The sequence below is a fragment of the Homo sapiens genome, chromosome 2, assembly GCF_000001405.40.
Source record: "Homo sapiens chromosome 2, GRCh38.p14 Primary Assembly".
In the NCBI taxonomy this organism is placed as follows: Eukaryota; Metazoa; Chordata; class Mammalia; order Primates; family Hominidae; genus Homo; species Homo sapiens.
The window spans coordinates 129,961,403-129,983,380 of NC_000002.12; the positions used below are offsets into that span (position 1 = coordinate 129,961,403).

Genomic DNA, 21,978 nt, shown 5'->3' on the forward strand with positions numbered 1-21,978 from the left:
CTGTGGAATCAGAGCACAAATCTCCTCTCCAAGAAGAGAAACGTGAATACTAAAGACTCCTATTGTGCAGTGTGGATGAAAATGGAAACATAATTCACAATTTGTTGTGGACAAGGAGCCTCACAGAGAGAATGTTTCCATGGTCTTCAAGTGTATTACTCAGCTACCCTACTAGCATTTTTTTCACTGTGCTGACAAGAAAGGGAAGAAAAAATATTCACAACCCAGGTTGCTAAACTAAGAGCTTTAATTAATGAGACTCCAGAAAGGGCCCTAGCAAGATAAAAATGTGATTGCACTGTGCTCTCTGACCTCAGTTGCAGGTTCTTTGACTTCTCTTTCATGTTCTCAGACCCTCAGTGTGAAGATATAAGGGCTGTCTGAGATTGCAAGTTGTTTTGCTAAAAAGCCTCTTTACACATCTGAAATATAACCTCTTAAACCTAACTCAGGCTTATGTTAACACCGTGGCTTTAAACCATGCTTAGACTGCATGGAATCATAAAGATGTTGAATATAGGAAACGCTGTTAGTTTATCAATTGGGCCTACTATTAAGTTCTTGAAGGGGTGGATTGCCCCTCCACACCTGTGGGTGTTTCTCGTAAGGTGTAACGAGAGACTTAGGAAAGAAAAAGACACAGAGACAAAGTATAGAGAAAGAAATAAGGGGACCCAGGGGACCAGCGTTCAGCATATGGAGGATCCTGCCAGCCTCTGAGTTCCCTTAGTATTTATTGATCATTCGTGGGTGTTTCTCGAAGAGGGGGATGTGTCAGGGTCACAAGACAATTGTGGGGAGAGGGTCAGCAGACAAACACGTGAACAAAGGTCTTTGCATCATAGACAAGGTAAAGGATTAAGTGCTGTGCTTTTAGATATGCATACACATAAACATCTCAATGCTTTACAAAGCAGTATTGCTGCCCGCATGTCCCACCTCCAGCCCTAAGGTGGTTTTTCCCTATCTCGGTAGATGGAACATACAATTGGGTTTTATACCGAGACATTCCATTGCCCAGGGATGGGCAGGAGACAGATGCCTTCCTCTTGTCTCAACTGCAAGAGTCATGCCTTCCTCTTATACTAATCCTCCTCAGCACAGACCCTTTATGGGTGTCAGGCTGGGGGACAGTCAGGTCTTTCCCTTCCCACGAGGCCATATTTCAGACTATCACATGGGGAGAAACCTTGGACAATACCTGGCTTTCCTAGGCAGAGGTTCCTGCGGCCTTCCGCAGTTTCTGTGTCCCTGGGTACTTGAGATTAGGGAGTGGTGATGACTCTTAAGGAGCGTGCTGCCTTCAAGCATCTGTTTAACAAAGCACATCTCGCACCGCCCTTAATCCATTTAACCCTGAGTTTGACACAGCACATGTTTCAGAGAGCACGGGGTTGGGGGTAAGGTCACAGAATCTCAAGGCAGAAGAATTTTTCTTAGTACATAACAAAATGGAGTCTCCCATGTCTACTTCTTTCTACACAGACACAGTAACAATCTGATCTCTCTTGCTTTTCCCCACATTTCCCCCTTTTCTTTTCGACAAAACCGCCATCGTCATCATGGCCCGTTCTCGATGGTCACTGTCTCTTCGGAGCTGTTGGGTACACCTGCAGACTAACAACAGACAAAACAGGCACACAAGGATTAATATGAGATTTATAATTGTAGTACTTCCGATGGTCTTAACCCAAGTGACAGGGTTAAGATTTGCGAGACCATCAGCAACTCCTGCAATTGCCTCAGTTCCTGGCACCAAATTTAAATGGGCTTTTGATGCTTCGAAAATTTGTTCTTTTAATTTGGAAATGTCTAAAGTGAGATTATCTTCTCTTCCCTGTAGATAGCGTCTAACCATGTCCCAGTGATGCTCAGACTCATTATAAATTTGGGGTGTAATACAAAAGTCTGACGTATTCCAGTCACACTGTAACTGGAAACGATGTTCTAAGCTCATGAGTCTGTCTCCCATCCAAATGACAGTTTGTCTAAGATCATTAATTTGATTTGCCAATTTTTGATCAATACTAGATTGTGAATTCCACAATCTTGTAGAATTTTTTTGCCAATCATTAACAAAGTTTACCGACTGAACAGAAGAGTGCAATGCAACTCCTGCTACAGCATCCGTAGCTGTGACTGCAGTTAATCCCATAATCACTGCAATTAAAGTAAAAGTGAATCTTTTGGATCTATTTAAAACGCCTTTTAATACTTCAGTCAAAATATGGACGGATGGCGAGGCCTCCCACGGTCGGTCCATGGACACAGGGATCCACACGCCCTCTCTTGCTCTCACCAGCAGAATACGGTGTTGCCAATTAAAAGTTGAATCAATGCAAGTAAATGATCTACAATTTGCACAGGTTATAGTCTGGGAGTCTGGTTTAATAACTATATTTCCTAAAACTAGCATATAAGGGGGCTTTACGCAACTTTGTAAAGGAACCGTTAGACTGGAATTTAGGTCGATAGTATAAAATGGCTTACGATATCTTGTTTCTAAAGTTTGACTTCCAGACCAAATTCTAATGTGGTGTGAGGCCACAGTAAGCCTCCATAATTCTGGATGTTCAGGACCAGAAACAGGACTTATTATTTTTGGTCTTGGGGTAGAGATTCCTTTTTCTCCCCATTCCCAATGGTAGAAAGACTGCAATTTTTTATGCTTACGTTTGTCTAGACTTTCTGTTAAGTCGCTATCAACAGCTGGACTCACTTGTGCACTTGGACATGACTGAGTTTGTCCTGAGCAATTGTGGTAGAATTGACCTCGAGGTGCCCAATCTGTAATAGTTCCGAATTCATTGTTTTGTAATATCACCGCACTATTGGCCACACATTCTTCCCAAACTAAAACGTCTGTATTTTTTGATTCTTTGGGAATTTCCTTGGGGCAAGGTTTCCCTTTAGGTCTGAATTTTAATGATCTTTGATAAGAAAAGTCTTGTAAATAATTTACCCGTGGCCTGAGTGACATCCCGCTTACCATGTGATAAGTGAATCTACTGATGGGACTGACAGTAGGTACTTCTACCAACCAGTTTTGGACTGCAGACATTAAACATCCTGGTGCTCTCCCTAGGCAAATAGGAGGATAACGATACCCAATGGAAATGTTTATCATCATCCCTTCTTCCTCAGGTTTGGCAGGGCAGCGATCATCTGTGGGGCCAGGTACCCATACACTATCATTAACATATACTTCTATAGGATTATCCATCCATGTGACTGGTGTTACCATCTCCGTGGAGGCGCTTTTCTTTGCATCTCCGATGGGTTCATTGTAGAACTTCAAATGTCTGGTGGGTATCCAAACAGGAAGCTGATTTTCTCCTGGTGAAACACAAGCAAAACCTCTCCCCCACGTTATCACCTTCCCTATTTCCCATGTCTTATTTTTATTATCTTTCCACCAAATTAGTTTTCCTTCATGTGGGCTGTTCTTTTTACCAGTAAGACGTTGTTCTGCAGAAGTAGTAGTCTGATTTCTATAAATGTTTAAAAAATTTAAACTATAGAGTGCTAGATTAAGTTGCATCTGAGGAGTGGTACACTCCTTACTGTCTCCCCCTTCTTTTTGTTTAACTAATTGAGTTTTGAGTGTTCTATTAGTTCTTTCAACTATGGCCTGTCCCTGGGGGGCACCAGATGTAGGGGTGGGTTGCCCCTCCAAGTTCTGAGGTCATTAGTTTGTTTTGTTTTGTCTTTGTTTTTTTTTTTTGTCGGTTTTTTGTCCTTTTTTATTTTTCCAAACTATATGTGCTTTGGAAATCTAAGGAGTGGGTATGAAAACAGTTTAGCCTGGTTTTTTTCCATGGTTGCTTCCACCAAGATGCCTCTGGCCTTTTCTCATCCAAAATCAACATAAAGCTGTTTCTCCCATATCACCACCATGACTACCACACAAAGCCAAGATGTCTCCATTTTTAAATTTGTTGCTTCACAGACTTACTACTAAACTCCTGGATGATGGGGGAGGTGGGCAACACGAGGCCCAGAATCATGCCTCTCTGTGTGATACTGGGCAAGTTACTTCACCTCACTGAGATGTTTATGGGTCTATGAAAGGAACGATCTGCACCATTTGCTCACTAGATCCCCCTTTGCATCTAAGCCATGATAATACCCCAAATAAGATGAAAGGATTTTATACAGGCGTGCCTGCATATTGACGTTTTGATCAATGACACACAGCACATATGACACTGGTTCCATAGGATTAGAACACCACATTTTTACTGTACCTTTTCTATGTTTGGCTATTTTTTTGTTTGTTTTGTTTTTTGAGATGGAGTCTCGCTCTGTTGCCCAGGCTGGAGTGAAGTGGCACAATCTCGGCTCACTGCAAGCTCCGCCTTCCGGGTTCAAGCCATTCTCCTGCCTCAGTCTCCTAAGTAGCTGGGATTACAGGTGCCCACCACCATGCCTGGCTGTTTTGTATTTTTAGTAGAGACAGGGCTTCACCATGTTGGCCAGGCTGGTCTTGAGCTCCTGACCTCAGGTGATCTGCCCACCTCAGCCTCCCAAAGGGCTGGGATTACAGGCGTGACCCACTGTGCCTGGCCTGTTTGTCTATTTTTTTTAAAATCCCATCCTAAAGAAAAGCTAGGTGCACAAATATTTACCATTGTGTTACAGTTACCTTCAGTATTCAGTACTACTCTATATGCTGTACAGGTTTGTAGCCTACGGGCAACAGACTGTACCATATAGCCTAGGTGCGTAGTCAGCTCCGCCATCTAGGTTTGTGAGTACACCCTGTGATATCTGCACAATGATGCACTCACCTAATAATGCATTTCTCAGAATGCATCCCCGTTGTTAAGTGATGCATCCTGGACTTCGTGCATTAAAAAAATGCCAGAACACTCCTTACTTAGTGCATAGACTTTATCAAATGTTGAATAAAAACAGAAACAAAAAGGAGACAATCCTACAATGAAAAGGAGACACTTATGTCTACCGTAGTGATTCACTGTACGTGGAGGAGGTAAGTGGGGCATGGACAGGTCTACAAATATAATACATATATACCCGACAACCACAGTGCTTTGCATTTCTTTATCAGTGAAAAACAAACTGGGATCTGAAGTGTATAAACAGTTCCCTAGTAAAGTCTATTTGAGATAAAGAATCAAATGTGCATCAATATATCAAAACTGACAAATACAAGAAAAGCATTCAGCTAGAGATAATTCACAGCATTTTATTCAAGTTAATCCATTTCATTCAATAATCTTCCATATTGTTCCCAGCACCACTATTACTATCATTATTTCTCTTCGGAGAAGACCAGGTATTAAGAAATCGGGTTTGAATTTCCATGATGCATAACTCTATGGTCAAAAATCCTTTTCCTTACCAAAAACCAACTTTTTAATCACCAGAGAAAAGAGAGAAAGACTGAGATATATTTGCAGAAATTTATATCCACTAGAGACAATTCATAGTTCATCATCTTTCAGGCTTGTGCTTTACTTGGTGGCTCTATTTTGGGGAGGGGGTTGTTTCTTATAAATATTTGTCTAATACAAATCACTTGCCCCACTGGACCACAGAAGGGAAATAAGGGCTAGTCCCCAGAAAGCAAGCAGGCAGTCCTCCTGGGAAGAAGCCCTAATGGCTCCTAGTGGTGACACAGTCATTCTGCCAGGGTGAGGGGACACAGTCATTCTGCCTCCCCAACCTCTGAGCAATAATAAAGTATAACCAAGTGAACAGGAGAGGTACTAACTAGCCGGATAATCCATGGGCTAGAATCTCTAAACAGGAATGTTTGTGTGTTTTGAATAAATCAGAGCTGGAAAGAGACACTTTTGGAGAAGTGATGGAGAATAGAAAAGTATGAAAAAGATAAAGGTTTCTCACCAAGGAACCCACAAAAAAGGTGGTACCAGTCAGAGGTAGTCTTGGGCTTTTCTTTTGAGATGAGTGTACCCCAAATGGGTTGTGCCATTTTCACATAAAAATTGGAATGATAATGAACAAGTGAAAGTGAAATCAGTTTCCCTCCTTTGTTCAATAAACACGGATAGAGTACCTGTGTGCAAGGTAGTGGGACAGGTGCTGAGGGGAAAGGTAAAGCTGTTTAAGCTGTGGCCCTGAGCTGAAAAAGAAATCTAGCAGTGCCATCAGACTGCACACTACAGAGTAGAGTGTCTCAGGGGCCAGGTGGAGGGAAGGATGACTTCCAGCTGCAGCATCAGGGAAGGCACTCTGCAGTCTCCCCTGTAGGTTCTCAGTGTGCCTCTGTGCCTGTGTGACCACTCAGCCTGCCCCATTCCAGGCACTTGCTCATCTTCCTTATCTTTCTCTCTAGTGTGAGAAGTGGAAGTTTAAGAGGATAAGATCCTGCTTCACAGGTACCTAATAAATGTGTGTGGAATTGACGTGTGGTGGAGGTGTCACTATCTTAGTGCAGCAAGGCGGAAAGAGTTTTGGGAAAGGAGAGCAAAGATGGTGGTGGTGAGGGTAAGGTGTTTTCATCAGAAGGCGAGAGCAAGGGTATACAAACCAAAAAGTCAATTTAGTATGTGGCTTAGCCCAGAGCACATGAGGGCACCAACACAGCCAAAGACCATAAGAAGGTAGCTGAAGTCCTCTGCCAAATAGGACTGAAAAGCTAAAATCTTTTCAGTTTCTTTCTTAAGCAACAACTGGTCTATTCAAGCTCAACCAGAGCATATAAGAGAAAAAATGACTAATGAGAGGCTCTTAAATAGTTTTGAAGGACAGACACTTTCTAGAAAGTAGAAAGATCACTGAGTAAACACTGCACCTCCCCTACCCCACAAACACACACAAAAAAGATGAGGATGAATGTAGAAGTGTAGAGCAAGCTTGTGGACATCCTCAAGTTTGGTTTTGGCGCTTCTGTTGGTAAGCAGTCAAGATGGTGAGAGACGCTATCCCAAAGGGGAAAGTCTGTAGGAACCAGAGTAGCTGAGCCTGACCACTTGTGTTGCCTTTATGCCTAAAAAAGAAAAAACAAAATTTAAACACCAGAATGTTAATCTTACAGTTTCATGGGAGTTATTGTCTTCTATATTGTTTTTTAAAATGTATACCTTCCATTACTTTCATTGGATTTATTTTGCTGCTTTTCTCTGGCTTCTTATCTTGGATGGTTTGTTTATTTTTCTTCTTTCTTGTTTTCTAATAAATGTATTTTGGATGGTACACTAGTCCCTGAGAACCAGTCTGGCTGGCTACTCTCTGGGGCACAGTATTATAAGACTGTTTCTCATGTGATTCGGATGGCTGCATGGAGTAAAACGCACTGGTATGGCTTCAGATCAAATGTTTTCAAGATAGACCAGATTTAAATCCTAGCGTGGCTACCTACCAGCTGTGACCTGGGCAAATCACTCAGTATCTCTCCAAATCAGTTTTCTCATCTGAAAAACAGGAATGGCAGTAGCTAGCTCACTGAGTGTTGAGATGATTTATGGGATAATACACACAAAGTGCTCAGGAAGGAGCCTGGCACACACTCATGATAAACACCTGCTTATATTGTCATTGAAATTCAATTGCTTAAAACGAAGTGCAAAAAAAAAAAATGACCCAATGGAAGTGAATGGCTTGCTACAGTCTCATCTGTATGGAAATAAGTCTCATTTGGATGACTTTTATTTATAATTTTAAAAACAATATATGTAAAAACAGTATAATTTTCTACAGTAACAGATAAAAGGAGAAAGATCATATGAATATCTTAATAAATGCAGAAGTGGCATTTGATAAATTCCACTATCCATTCTTTTTCCACCCCCTCAGGGATGGGGGTCTCACTCTGTCACCTACAGTGGAGTACACTGGTACAATTATAGCTCACTGCAGACTCAAACTCCTGGGCTAAAGTTATCCTCCCACCTCAGCCTCCCAAGTAGCTGGGATCATCACAGGCATGCACCACCACGCCTGGCTAGGTTTTTTGTTTTTTATTTATTTATTTTTTTTGTAGGGACAGTGTCTTACTTTGTTGCCCAGGCTGGTCTTGAACTCCTGGCTTCAACTGATTCTCCTGCCTCAGCCTCCCAAAGTGCCAGGATTACAGGTGTGAGCCACCTGCGTCCACACCTAACATCCATTTTTAATAAAAGTTCTCAGCAAATTTAGAAATACAATGGAACTTCCTAATTTTGACAGAGGAGATCTACAAAACTCTAGAATAAACACGATGCAAAATGTTGAAAGTTCTCCTTTGAGGTCAAGAACGGGGCGCACTTCTAGTCAGCACTGCTGGAAGTTCTAGGCAATAGAATAAGGGAAGAAACATAAATAAAAGGTATACACAATTGAAAGAAATAAAACTGTATTTCTGGACAGTTTTATACCTGAAAAACTGAAAATAATCTACAAACTATTAGAATTAATAAATTTATTTAGCAAGGTTGCTGGGTATAAGGTCAATATAAAAAATTGACTACATTCATAAAAACTACCATCAAACAATTAGAAAATGAAAAAAAGTGAGCTGAGATCATGCCACTGAACTCCAGCCAGGGCGACAGAGCTAGACTCCATCTCAAAAAAAAAAAAAAACAGTTGGTGCGGTGGCTCAGGCGTGTAATGCCAGCACTTTGGGAGACTAACACAGGCGAATCACTTGAGCCCAGGAGTTTGACACCAGCCTAGGCAACAATAGTGAGACCCCATCTTTTTAAAAAAGTCATTTATAATAGCATCTCAAAGTACAAGTAGCTGGAAATTAATCTAACAACGTGTAAAACCTCTTAAAAATTATAGATATATTAAAGGAGATCTAAATAAATGGAGACAGATAATTTCATCGTTTAGAAGACTCAGTAATAGAAATATGTGATGCTTTCCTGACCTTAAGGAAAAAAAAGAAAAAAAAAGTAATGGAAATATGTCAATGTTCTCCAGATTAGTTCACATGGTCAATCCAATAAAAATCTCAACAGCTTTATTTTTTGTTTTTGAACACAGGACAATGCATAGAATTTGCAAAGGTGTAGGAAAGGGCAATCCTATTGCACAAGATGAGAGGACATACTTTATCAGCTAACAATGATTATAAAGCTGCTGCTATTAAGACAGTGTTGTGTTAGCCCAAGGATAAACAGGCCAATGGAGCAGAATAGAGTGTTGAGAAACAGATCCATACATATAAGTAAAGACAGGGCACATCAATGAAGACTGAATGTCTCAATAAATAGCTCTGGGATAATTGGGCATCCAGATGGAAAAGGTAAAGTTGGAAACCTCTCTCTTACAAAAAAAAGCTCTAGGTAGAATGAAAACTTAAATGTCAAAAAAAAAATTCTAAAACTGTTAGAAGATACTGTAAAAGAATATAACTTTAGGCCGGGTGCGGTGGCTCACGCCTGTAATCCCAGCACTTTGGGAGGCCGAGGCGGGTGGATCACGAGGTCAGGAAATTGAGACCATTCTGGCTAGCATGGTGAAACCCCGTCTCTACTAAAAATACAAAAAATTAGCCGGGCGTCGTGGCGGGCGCCTGTAGTCCCAGCTACTCAGGAGGTTGAGGCAGGAGAATGGCGTGAACCTAGGAGGCGGAGTTTGCAGTGAGCCGAGATCGCGCCACTGCACTCCAGCCTGGGCGACAGAGCGAGACTCCGTCTCAAAAAAAAAAAAAAAAAAAAGAATATAACTTTAATACAAATAAATGAATAAAATTGACTAAATTCATAAACTTCTGTTTATCAAAAGGCCCAACAGAATAAAAAGACCGTGAGAAAGGATATTTGCAAAACATCTAAATGACAAGGTACTGAAGATCAGAAAAAACAAGGAGCGCCTATGAAAAGGTAAGCAAAGGACAGACAGCCCATTAGAACATTGGTGAGATTGTGGGGAAATGGGCACTATCATATACTTCGGTTAGAAGCATAAATTAGTCCCACAGTTTTGAAGGCAGTATGGAAGAAATACATATCATAATTAAAAGGTCATTCTTTTTTTTTTTTTTTTTTAGATGGAGTCTTGCTCTGTCGCCCAGGCTAAAGTGCAGTGGTGCGATCTCGGCTCACTGCAACCTCTGCCTCCCAGATTCAAGCGATTCTCTTGCCTCAGCCTCCTTAGTAGCTGGAATTACAGGTGCCTGCTACCATGCCCAGCTAATTTGTGTGTGTGTGTGTGTGTGTGTGTGTGTGTGTGTGTGTGTGTGTATTTTTAGTGGAGACAGGGTTTCACCATGTTGGCCAGGCTGGTCTCAAATTCCTGACCTCAGGTGAACCACTAGCCTCGGCCTCCCAAAGTGCTGGAATTACAGGCGTGAGCCACAATGCCCAGACAAAAGTATTCATTCTTTAATCTTCAAATTCCAGATCTTGGAATTTTTTGTAAGAGAACAAATACCAAAGTGGGACAAATACACGAAATTCATGTTCATTGCTGTATTGCTTGTAATAGTAAAAAAGTAGAGACTTAAAAGCCCATCAGAAGGAGGATTTCTTAAATACATTAAGGCACATCTATACAATAGAATTCTATGCACTAATATTAATGGATGAATAACTTTATACGTATAAACATAGACAGGCATATGTTAGTCCAGTGCAGTGGCACACCTATAGTCCCAGCTACTTGGGAGGCTGAGGCTGGAGGATCTCTTGAGCACGGGTGCTCAAGGCCAGCTTGGGCAACATAGTGAGACCCATCTCTTAAAAAATAAAATAAAATACAATTTAAAATAGGCATATATGACCATGGAAACCAATTATAGAAGAGATTATATCTATATGTATATATGTAATTGGATTACAGGCATGAGCCACCACTCCTAGCAACTTTCAATTTTATAAGCTGAGTTTTTAACAACATTATTAACTTAAAAACAAACACGTTTGTTTTGAAATGGGTGAAACAACAAAAATATTTTGTTTTGGAAAATAAATTTATATGATCCTGTAAATGTGTAAGATACTTAGGAAAGAAAAATAAAGATGAGTTGGCATCTTGGAAGAGCAGGCTCACTGAACAGCAGTGCTTGTTTCCTCCTCCTTCAGAGGGGTCACAGCTGGTGGCCAGGTAACTCGGAGAAGGGTTTTCCTGGGGTCATCATAACTTGTTCTCATTCACACACCTTTATCTGTATTCTTAGCTCATTTTGCCTATTTGAAAGACAAAAGCCTTTTAAGAAAGTTTTCTTAATTTAATTCACATTTCCCTTAATGATTCCACCAAGACCCAGGCAGATGTAAAAATCTCTTTGTGAGTATACTGTTTCCTGCCTTAGGAAAAAATGTTACTTCTGATACTTGAAAAATTTCACAATTTACCTGTTTTGTTCACTCGAGGCTGCCCTATCACAGAGTACTTCCACTTGTCAAGAACTTCTGTTCTGTTTCTACATGGTAATAAAATCTACTCTACATACAAATGTTTGCAAGAACTGAAAAACCTTTCTCAGGGCTGCAGAGCCAACTGGGGTAAACAAGCAGCAAGAATCTAATTTCTGAACTGAGACAATAAGCCATATATTCTGAATGGAAAATTCCAGATTGTAAAAAGGTAATAATGAACATGAATGTTGGCCTCAAAGAGATACTATGTTATTTACCCTAAGGAAAAACCGTTCTATTTTTCTTGTTAAAATATTATTATGTAACAAGAACTACAAGCACCTTCAAAGAAGAGTTGAACCTCACTTTGTAATCAAATAAATACAAGTTAAAATGGCTAGATAACCGTTTTTAATCTACCAAAATAGCAAAAGGTTTTTGCCCCCCATCATCAAAAATAGCACTTTTTTTTTTCTTTTTTTTTCTTGAGACAGAGTCTCACTTTGTCACCCAGGCTGGAATGCAGTGGTGCAATCTCGGCTCACTGCAATCTCTGCCTCCCAGTTTCAAGCAATTCTCCTGCCTCAGCCTCCCAGGTAGCTGGAATTACAGACGTGCACCACCACGCCCGGCTAGTTTTTGTATTTTTAGTACAGACGGGGTTTCATAATGTTGGCCAGGCTTGTCTCGAACTCCTGAACTCAGTTGATCTGCCCGCCTTGGCCTCCCAAAGTGCTGGGATTACAGGTGTGAGCCTGGCCAGAAATGGCAATTTCATAGAATGGTAGTGGAAACGTAAAATGCTAAAACCCGACTGAAAAGCAATTTTGCAGTAAGTACCAAGAGCTTTATAACGGTTCTTTCACTCAGTAATTCTATATCCACGGATTTAGCCTAAGGAAGAAAATAAGAAATACATAAAATGGTTAAAGAGTAAATGTGCATTGTTAGAAGGTTAAATAATTATGGGATATACAATTACAGGAGTCTTTTGCAAACTTTGAAATTATTTACCAAGAGATTTTAAAAACATGGGAAATTATTTCGTATTATGATTATGGCACTTATAAAGTCAACATGTAGTCCAATCGTATCTCTAGTGAAAAGGAATTCACCAAAAAATGATTTACTGTATTTTTTAAAACATGGGATTTAAGAGACTTCATATGAATATCTTGACTATGCATTGAAATTCTTATTTAGGGCCTAACACAGAGGAGGTGTTTGCTAAATGTTGATTTCTTGCTACCTGTTTTTTTCCTCCAAGATTGTTGCTGTATGTATCTAGGGTCCAGAGGAGTCCAGAATATTGTTTTGCGCATGTTGCTTATTGAATTAAAAAATTAACACATTCATGAAAAATAAAGAAATTCACCCAAATGTTACAAGTAGTTATTTGGCAGGCTGTAAATGTATACATGTCTTCATTCATCTAAATTTATTCATTCATCTCATAATTCCTTTTTTTTTTTTTTTTGAGACATCTTGCTCTGTTGCCCAGGCTGGAGTGCAGTACTGTGATTGTGGCTCACTGCAACCTCCACCTCCCGGGTTCAAGCAATTCTCCTGCCTCAGCCTCCCGAGTAGCTGGGATCACACGCATGCGCCACCACGCCCAGCTAATTTTTTGTTTTGTTTTGTTTTTTTGTATTTTTAGTAGAGATAGGGTTTCACCATGTTGGCCAGGCTGGTCTCGAACTCCTGACCTCAGGTGTTCAGCCTGCCTCAGCCTCCCAGAGTGCTGAGATTACAGGTGTGAGCCACCACGCCTAACCATCATCTCATAATTCAAAAGGAGTATTTATTCTGATTTATAGTGATCTCAATGATACATTCTAACATGTTAGACCATAAGGAAATGATTTCAAAGGCCAGGCACAGTGGCTCACACCTGTAATCCCAGTACTTTGGGAGGCTGAGGCGGGCACATCATGAGATCAGGAGATCGAGACCATCCTGGCTAACACAGTGAAACCCCGTCTCTACTAAAAATACAAAAAAATTAGCCGGGCGAGGGGTGGGCACCTGTAGTCCCAGTTACTCGGGAGGTTGAGGCAGGAGAATGGCATGAACACAGGAGGTGGAGCTTGCAGCAAGCCAAGATTGCACCCCTGCACTCCAGCCTGGGCAACAGAGCGAGACTCCGTCTCAAAAAAAAAAAAAAAAGAAATGATTTCAAGAACGTAATAATAGTGACCTAACCTCTATGCCTGTTCTCCCTCTGCCCTTCAAAAAAAATTGTATATTAAATTTGAGTATTTTGGTTTTCATCAGATACTCCAAATGCCAACAACAAAATAGGTGTCAGGCACTCCTACATTCCAAGTTGAGGGGCTGGGCCGGACACTTACAATCCGAGATTCCACTGGGATGCTGCAGAGGCCATTGGAAAGAGGTCCTAGTGAGCTGTGGCGTTTCCTACAAGTCAAGCCCAGACAATGGCTTCAACAGGACCATTTGTAGAGCTTGACATGAGTCCCCTGGAATTTGGGGAATGATTTAACATCTGATTCCAAAGAGTAAACACTGGTTTGGACTGCTTGCTGGGAGAGAAGGAAGCACCACCGCACTGTGAACTGCATGCACTTGCAGATTATCCCACTGGAGGGGTACTGAAGTTGTTTATACTGTGAGCCATACAGATCCTGGAGAAGGCACTGGACATGAGTAGGTTTAAAAGGGACCCTGTACCACAGGCCCACCTGAAGGATGGAAGTGATCTCAATAAAAGGGTAATTCTTCCCGGAACACAGACTCTGAGGGTGAAACTGCAAGTGGCACTCTGGAGGAGGTATCTGAACAACCATCAAGGAAACTGCAGAAGGGAGATCCCAGGTGATGAACAGTGTCTCAAAATCTACTACATTCCCTCTAAAGAGAAAGAGCCAATAGACTGGATACACAGTGTACACAGCACCCAGCTGCCTGATCACAAGGCAGCAACTGTTTATTGTTTTTTTAATTTTTTTTTTTTTGAGACGAGGTCTTGCTCTGTCACCCAGGCTGGAGTGCAGTTGGCTCACTGCAGCCTCTGCTTCCCGGGTTCAAGTGATTTTCACGCCTCAGCCTCCTAAGCAGCTGGGACTGCAGGCACGCACCACCATGCCTGGCTTTTTTTTAGTATTTTTTGTATTTTTAGTAGAGATGGGGTTTTGTCATGTTGGCCAGGATGGTCTCAAACTCCTGGCCTCAAATGATCTGCCCCCCTAGGCCTCCTAAAGTGCTGGGAATATAGGTGTGAGCCACTGTGCCCAGCCAGCAGCTGCTGTTTAAGGATGATCCTTGTTCTCCCTAACTATTCCCACCATCCCAAGGGACCACAAGCAGCGATTACTAGTGAATAGAGGAGAAGGTGAAGTCAACTGCATCCTTCTCCCCACTGCAGGCTCCTGAGCCTCTCCCAGCTGGAGGAGAACAGACATTCTGAATTAGAAGAAAGTTTATAGTTGTAACAAATAGAACGGGCTAGAATGGATAATATCAGATGGTGACTGGAAATCCTATGATCTGCTTGAAATTCCATCCAGAGATACGGTGGAAGGTGGGGAACAATCCACAAAGCAAATTTACTTGGAGAGGGGTGAGAAAGAAATAATAAAGTTACTTTCTGCTCCTCTTCATAGAAAGTCTAGCTTGTGGCCGGGCACAGTGGCTCATGCCTATAATCCCAGCACTTTGAGAGGCCGAGGCAGGCAGATCACCTGAGAGGTCAGAAGTTCGAGACTAGCATGGCCAACATGGTGAAACCTCGTCTCTACTAAAAATACAAAAATTAGCTGGGCGCAGTGGTAGGCTCCTGAAATCCCAGCTACTCGGGAGGCGGAGGAGGGAGAATTGCTTGAACCTGGGAGGCAGAGATTGCAGTGAGCCAAGATTGTGCCACTGCACTCCAGCCTGGGCGACAAAGCAAGATTCTGTCTCAAAAAAAAATAAACAAGAAAAGAGAGTAAGATAATTCTATTTAACATACTTAGCAGTCTCTGACATAGTGGTACACAATCAATATTGATTATTTTTATTATTGAAACATAGTAATAGAGTATCTTATTTTCCACTTTTAGAATAGAAAAATAATAGAGGTCATAGTATATCTTGACCAGAAATTAATTCAACTAATTAACTAATATCTTCATAAGAAATTAATTGGAAGGCAATTTGGCATTACTATAACCATGTTTTTCATTGTACCATACTTTCTGTATATGCTTATAGAAAATACAAACATAATTTTTTCTAGCGTTCTCACACAGTATTAACCTACACTAGCATCTGCTGAATGGGGTCTGATTTGGGGGCTTTTAACTGGCATTGCCTCCTAAAATTATCTGTGGAGCTTTTAAAAAGAACACATTCCCATCTCTGAGGCAAGACTTACCCAATCAGAATCTCTGGGTCTGGAAACCAGACATGTGTATTTTGAAAAAGCTCCTCAGGTGGTTCAACTGTAAAACGAGGATTGCGAGTCATCAGCCTAGGTCAGTCACTTAGCTCTTTTGAAAACTAGAAGCCAGGCTCCTAGTCTTTTGGTCTCTGAAAAAGAACCAGAGACACAGAATACCTATTAGGTCACTTAAAACCTGTTTTGTTGTTGTGGTGGTTGGTGGTAGTGGTGGTGGTTTTTTCGTTTGTTTGGGTTTGTTTTTTTTTTTTTTTGAGAAAGGCTGTGAAACAATACAAAAATAACTACAGACCAAAGAAACTCAGAACAGTCATTTGGGCCCCCATTCTTGACTTCTATTTTCTTTTTCCTTTTTTTTTTTTTTTTTTTCTTGAGACAGGGTCGCACTCCACTGCTGGGGCTGGAGTGCAGTGGTGTGATCATGACTCACTGCAGCCTCCACCATCTGGGCTCCATCCATCCTCCCACCTCAGCCTTCCAAGTAGTTGGGACCGCACGTGCATGCCACCATGCCCAGCCACTTTTTAAAATTGTATATAGCGATGGGGTCTCACTACGTTGCCCAGGATGGTCTCCAACTCCAGGGCTCAAGCAATTCTCCCACCTTAGCTTCCCAAAGTGCTGGGATTACAGCATGAGCCACTGCGCTGGGATGACTTCTATTTTCTAAAAGCAACTCTACTGGGAGATTTATGCTGAGGAAAGTATGTGGTTATCAGACTCAGTGCCCATGGTGGATGACTTCTTTTTTTTTTTTCTTTGTAGAGAAGGGATCTTGCTTTGTCACCCAGGCTCGAGTGCAGTGGCATGACCACGGCTCACTGTAGCCTCGACTTCCCGGGCTCAAGTGATCCCCCCAACTCAGCTCCCCCAAGTAGCTGAGAATACAGGCATGGGCTACCACAATTGTCTAATTTTTTTTTTTTTTTGAGACAGGGTTTTGCTCTGTCGCTCAGGCTGGAGTGCAGAGGCATGATCTTGGCTCACTGTAACTTCTGCCTCCCAGATTCAAGCATCTCTCGCCTCAGCCTTGGGAGTAGCTGGGGACTACAGGTGTGTGTGGGTGAGTCTGGGTGTGTGTGGGTGAGTGCAGGTGTATCTGGGTGTAGGTGGGTGAGTATGGGTGTGTGTCTGCGTGTAGGTGGGTGAGTATGGGTGTGCAGGTGCGTGTGAGTATGTGTTTACATTGTGGTATGTGTCTGTTGGGTGCCGCCATTAGGGATTTGGAAGAGTGAGGACCATAAACTTGTAAACATTTCTACATGCCTGGTCCATAAGAAGTGTACCAAGCATGATCAAAAGTAACTAAACCAAGTAAACAAATTAGACATTAATTAAACTTAATGCTGGGCAGGAAAGAAGTATTCAAGGCCAGGTAAAATGAAGAAATATAACCAAATAAATGAAATTTTAAAATTAGTAGAATGAGACAGAAATACTTTTTAAAGTTTTTAATTTCTGATGAATATCAGTATATAAAACTAACAATTATATGGCCGTTAATTGACTAAAAACAGTACTTTAGATTTCAGCTAGTGAAACAGCCATATATGATCTTCTAATTCCATTTTTATGTCTCAAGAATGACTTGTTTAAATAATTTTTTTTGAATTGTTACATTTTCATCTTGAAAGAGCTTCACAAAACTTACATGAGAATCTGGATTGTCATAAGAGGTCTGAGTTTTTAATGGTATGTTCGTATTTCTGTTATGTACATCGATGTCAAACATTCATTTCCTGAGCTGTTCTCCAGAACACAATTTGACTTGTAATGAACACTCAATAAATGGTTGCTTGGATAATCAAATCAACACCTTAGTTTCATCAATTTTCATTTCATATAAAAGTGACTGATCTTCCATACTCACCAATGAAACAGAGAGAGATGAGGGAGGGATAGCAGTGGAGACTAAGAGGATGACAAGCAGACCTCATTTTGCAGTGGATATCCTACACTCTCCACTTCTGAATGCTTGGAAACACTTGCCATACTCAAAAAACATTGCTATTTCCTAGGCAGAAAATGGGAGTTAAAGAAAATCCATATTTCTATATTACAATAACTTACACTATAATACATGGACGACATACATTTCTAAGCTCTTCAGTTCATAGAAAATGTAGATACATTTAGGTGAGCAAGATGCAGGAGAAGGGTTAATAATCAGGCTGAGTGTGATTGTGAGATTCAGTCTAATACAAGTCTTGGGTAATTGTATCAGTTGACATTTCTGTTCAAATGCAAGGTGGGAGAGTTTTGCAGGAGCTACTGAAACTTCCTGCCTGATGTTAGGAGAGATGTTGGTCCATGTGATTAGGCCAGATGTGTTTGCTTAATTGTGGCTTAGAAAAGTTAGGTTTCTGACCTCTCACAGAGACGGGGAGATAGGGACGTTAAATTTTATAACATTTCTATTTAATATATATTTAATAATACATAATAAAGTTTTTAAAATGTCAATTTTGTCCTTTTTCTAGTTTGCATTATTTTGTTTTCACCGCACCATTGTTTTTAGTACATATGTTTTGTGTATTTAAAAAACTGTGTTGAGGCGCCCTGGCTCGCCCTGCGCCAGAGGCTCGCGCACTCAGCAGGTTGGGCTGCGGCGGCGGCGGCTGGGGAAGCCGAAGCGCCGCGCGTGAGAGATCCCGGATACATCTGCGGTTTGGGCTCCGCCACCCTCCGTCTCTCTCCCGCAGGTCTCTGAGCCGGGTGCGGAAGGAGGGAACGGCCCTAGCCTTGGGAAGCCAAAGCACACCCCTGGCTCCTGCCGACACCGCCCTCCTTCCCTTCCCAGCCGCGGGCCTCGCTCCGTGCTCGGCTACTCTGCCGGGAGGCGGCGGCGGCTGCCAGTCTGTGGCGAGCCCTGCTGCCCTCCAGCCGGGCTCCTCCAGCCGGGCTCCTCCACCGGCCCTTGCAGGGGCGCAGAGAGCTCGGCGCCCGCCCTTCCGCTCGCCTTTTTCGTCAGCCGGCTGGAGGAGCATCGGTCCGGGAGGTCTCTGGGCTGAGGCGGCGACAGCTCCTCTAGTTCCACCATGTCCGCGGGCGGAGACTTCGGGAATCCGCTGAGGAAATTCAAGCTGGTGTTCCTGGGGGAGCAAAGCGTTGCAAAGACATCTTTGATCACCAGATTCAGGTATGACAGTTTTGACAACACCTATCAGGCAATAATTGGCATTGACTTTTTATCAAAAACTATGTACTTGGAGGATGGAACAATCGGGCTTCGGCTGTGGGATACGGCGGGTCAGGAACGTCTCCGTAGCCTCATTCCCAGGTACATCCGTGATTCTGCTGCAGCTGTAGTAGTTTACGATATCACAAATGTTAACTCATTCCAGCAAACTACAAAGTGGATTGATGATGTCAGAACAGAAAGAGGAAGTGATGTTATCATCACGCTAGTAGGAAATAGAACAGATCTTGCTGACAAGAGGCAAGTGTCAGTTGAGGAGGGAGAGAGGAAAGCCAAAGGGCTGAATGTTACGTTTATTGAAACTAGGGCAAAAGCTGGATACAATGTAAAGCAGCTCTTTCGACGTGTAGCAGCAGCTTTGCCGGGAATGGAAAGCACACAGGACGGAAGCAGAGAAGACATGAGTGACATAAAACTGGAAAAGCCTCAGGAGCAAACAGTCAGCGAAGGGGGTTGTTCCTGCTACTCTCCCATGTCATCTTCAACCCTTCCTCAGAAGCCCCCTTACTCTTTCATTGACTGCAGTGTGAATATTGGCTTGAACCTTTTCCCTTCATTAATAACGTTTTGCAATTCATCATTGCTGCCTGTCTCGTGGAGGTGATCTATTAGCTTCACAAGCACAAAAAAAGTCAGCGTCTTCATTATTTATATTTTACAAAAAGCCAAATTATTTCAGCATATTCCGGTGATAACTTTAAAAATTAGATACATTTTCTTAACATTTTTTTCTTTTTTAATGTTATGATAATGTACTTCAAAATGATGGAAATCTCAACAGTATGAGTATGGCTTGGTTAACGAGCAGTATGTTCACAGCCTGCTTTATCTCTCCTTGCTCTTCTCACCTCTCCCTTACCCCGTTCCCTATTTCCGTGTTCTTACCTAGCCTCCCCCCACTTCCTCAAAACAAACAAGAGATGGCAAAGCAGCAGTCCGACCAAGCCCACTGGAATTATCCTTTAATTTTACAGATACCACTTGCTGTAGGCTGTGGACCAAGATGTCCAGAATTATTCTTGAGCACTGATGTAAATTACTTAGATCTTCTTTGAGGTCAGAATTCAGCGATCACGGTAGGCAGTGCTTGAATGAGAAAAGCCTCCTGGTGCATCTTCAAAATGAGTCCTAAAGAACATACTGAGTACTTATAAGTAGCAGAACATAAAATGTATTTCTGACTAACACAAATGGTCCTTTCACATGTGCTTTATTAGACTCTGGGAGAGAAAAGTAACCAAGTGCTTCAGAACAGGTTTTTAGTATTTACTTCTTCATGGTAAGATAATGAAGTTCTAATGAACTATTTCTCCCAAGGTTTTAAAATTGTCAAGAGTTATTCTGTTTGTTTAAAAAGTAAGAAACCTCTGTAAGCAATAGATTTTGCTTGGGTTTTCTTTCTTAAAAAAATAATACTATGCAGGCAAGACACCATAAAAGTTTAATTCCTTACAGAAGAACCAGTGGAAGAATTTAAATTTGGCACTACGATCAAAACTACTGAATTAGCAGAAATAACGATATCTAAAGCTTACCAGCAAAAGAACCCTCAGCAGAATAGCAAAAACTTTGCTCAGGACATTTGAGGTCAAATTGAAGACGGAAGACGGAAGACGGAAACCGGAAACCGTTTTCTTGTAAGCCCCTAGAGGCAGATCAGGTAAAGCATACATAGTAGAGGGAAAGGAGAGAATGGAAATAAAACTGAATATTATGCAGATTTATGCCTTATTTTTTAGCATTTTTTAAGGTTGGGTCTTTCAGGCTGGTTTTGGTTTGTATTAGATCTGTATAGTTTAACTAGTGATTTAGTTTTATATTTAAGCTACGATTAATATTTTTTCTTTGGCGATATTTCTTTGCTTTTTTTTTTTTTAACAACTTTCCATTTTTAGATGTTTCGTTGAATCTATTTAGAGCTTCACCATGGCAATATGTATTTCCCTTAAAACACTGCAAACAAATATACTAGGAGTGTGCCCTTTTAATCTTTACTAGTTATTGTGAGATTGCTGTGTAAGCTAATAAACACATTTGTAAATACATTGTTTGCAGGAAGAAAACTTCGAGTTACAGGTCAGGAAAAGCCTGCTGAATTTATGTTGTAAACGTTACTTAACACAGTATAAAGATGAAAAGACAACAAAAGTATCTTCATACTTCCTCATCCCCTCATTGCAACAAAACCTTAAACTGGGAGAACCTTAGTCCCCTCTCTTTCCTCTTCCTCCTCCACTTCCCACTTATTGTCACTTTGTAATATTCAGAGAGCACTTGGATTATGGATCTGAATAGAGAAATGCTTACAGATAATCATTAGCCCACATACCAGTAACTTATACTTAAAGATGGGATGGAGTTATAAAGTGCTTTTATAATACAATATAATTGCTAAAGGCAAGGGTTGACTCTTTGTTTTATTTTGACATGGCATGTCCTGAAATAAATATTGATTCACTATGGCAGATGGGTCATATTCTTTATTTGGAAGAAGTCATGACTTCTGACATGGGGGTGATTTTCTCCCTACACTGTTGCATTTGATTCTTTTTATGTATTTTTAAGAAAGTAACCAGTTATACTGCTTTTAATATTGATTGGTCTTTTTATTTGGCTTGGAGTTCTTCAAAGCAGTGAAGTGTGTTCATAGTCCAGATTTTTTTTTAGTAAACACAATTTTGCTGCCAAAAATATATAAATAAAACACAAAAGGAAACAAAAATAAAAAGTTTTGAAAATGTTAGATCATCTCCCTTTTTACCGCCTTTCCCTTTTACCTTTTACTGCCATTTACATCCACACATCCACACACACAACGTGCACACACATACCGACTAAAATTAATTTAGATGCCAGTTCGAATTATATTTATTATCCTCCCACACACACACACACCTTTTTTTTTTATACGGAGCTTTGCTCTTGTTGCCCAGGCTGGAGTGCAGTGGCGCAATCTTGGCTCACCACAACCTCCGCCTCCCAGGTTCAAGCAAGTCTCCTGCCTCAGCCTCCCTAGTAGCTGGGATTACAGGCACCCACCACCAGGCTGGACTGATTTTTGTATTTTTAGTAGAGGCAGAGTTTAACCATATTGATCAGGCTGG

General features: G+C 41.3%; 1 protein-coding gene and 1 long non-coding RNA gene across 2 annotated transcripts, besides 1 other annotated feature; one reads left to right on the plus strand and one right to left on the minus strand.

The window, feature by feature from the left end:
- Nucleotides 862-1,428: an enhancer, noted in NCBI's record as "NANOG-H3K27ac hESC enhancer chr2:130719837-130720403 (GRCh37/hg19 assembly coordinates)". NCBI's record gives its function as "activates a minimal SCP1, AML or CMV promoter by ChIP-STARR-seq in naive H9 embryonic stem cells {active_cell/tissue: H9 hESC(naive)}" and the evidence as "EXISTENCE:reporter gene assay evidence [ECO:0000049][PMID:30033119]".
- RAB6C-AS1 (RAB6C antisense RNA 1) lies at nucleotides 5,190-19,070 on the minus strand. The gene is made up of 6 exons (NR_036537.1): nucleotides 18,882-19,070; nucleotides 18,635-18,767; nucleotides 17,546-17,689; nucleotides 15,652-15,806; nucleotides 7,349-7,400; nucleotides 5,190-6,976 (listed from the first exon to the last, which is right to left on the minus strand). It is a non-coding gene; the product is annotated as an RAB6C antisense RNA 1 (long non-coding RNA).
- On the plus strand, nucleotides 18,264-21,336 carry RAB6C (RAB6C, member RAS oncogene family). Its single transcript, NM_032144.3, has one exon. It carries the CDS (start codon nucleotides 18,714-18,716, stop codon nucleotides 19,476-19,478), a length of 765 nt encoding a protein of 254 aa, NP_115520.2. The 5' UTR covers nucleotides 18,264-18,713; the 3' UTR covers nucleotides 19,479-21,336.
- The last annotated feature ends 642 nt before the right edge of the window (nucleotides 21,337-21,978 follow it).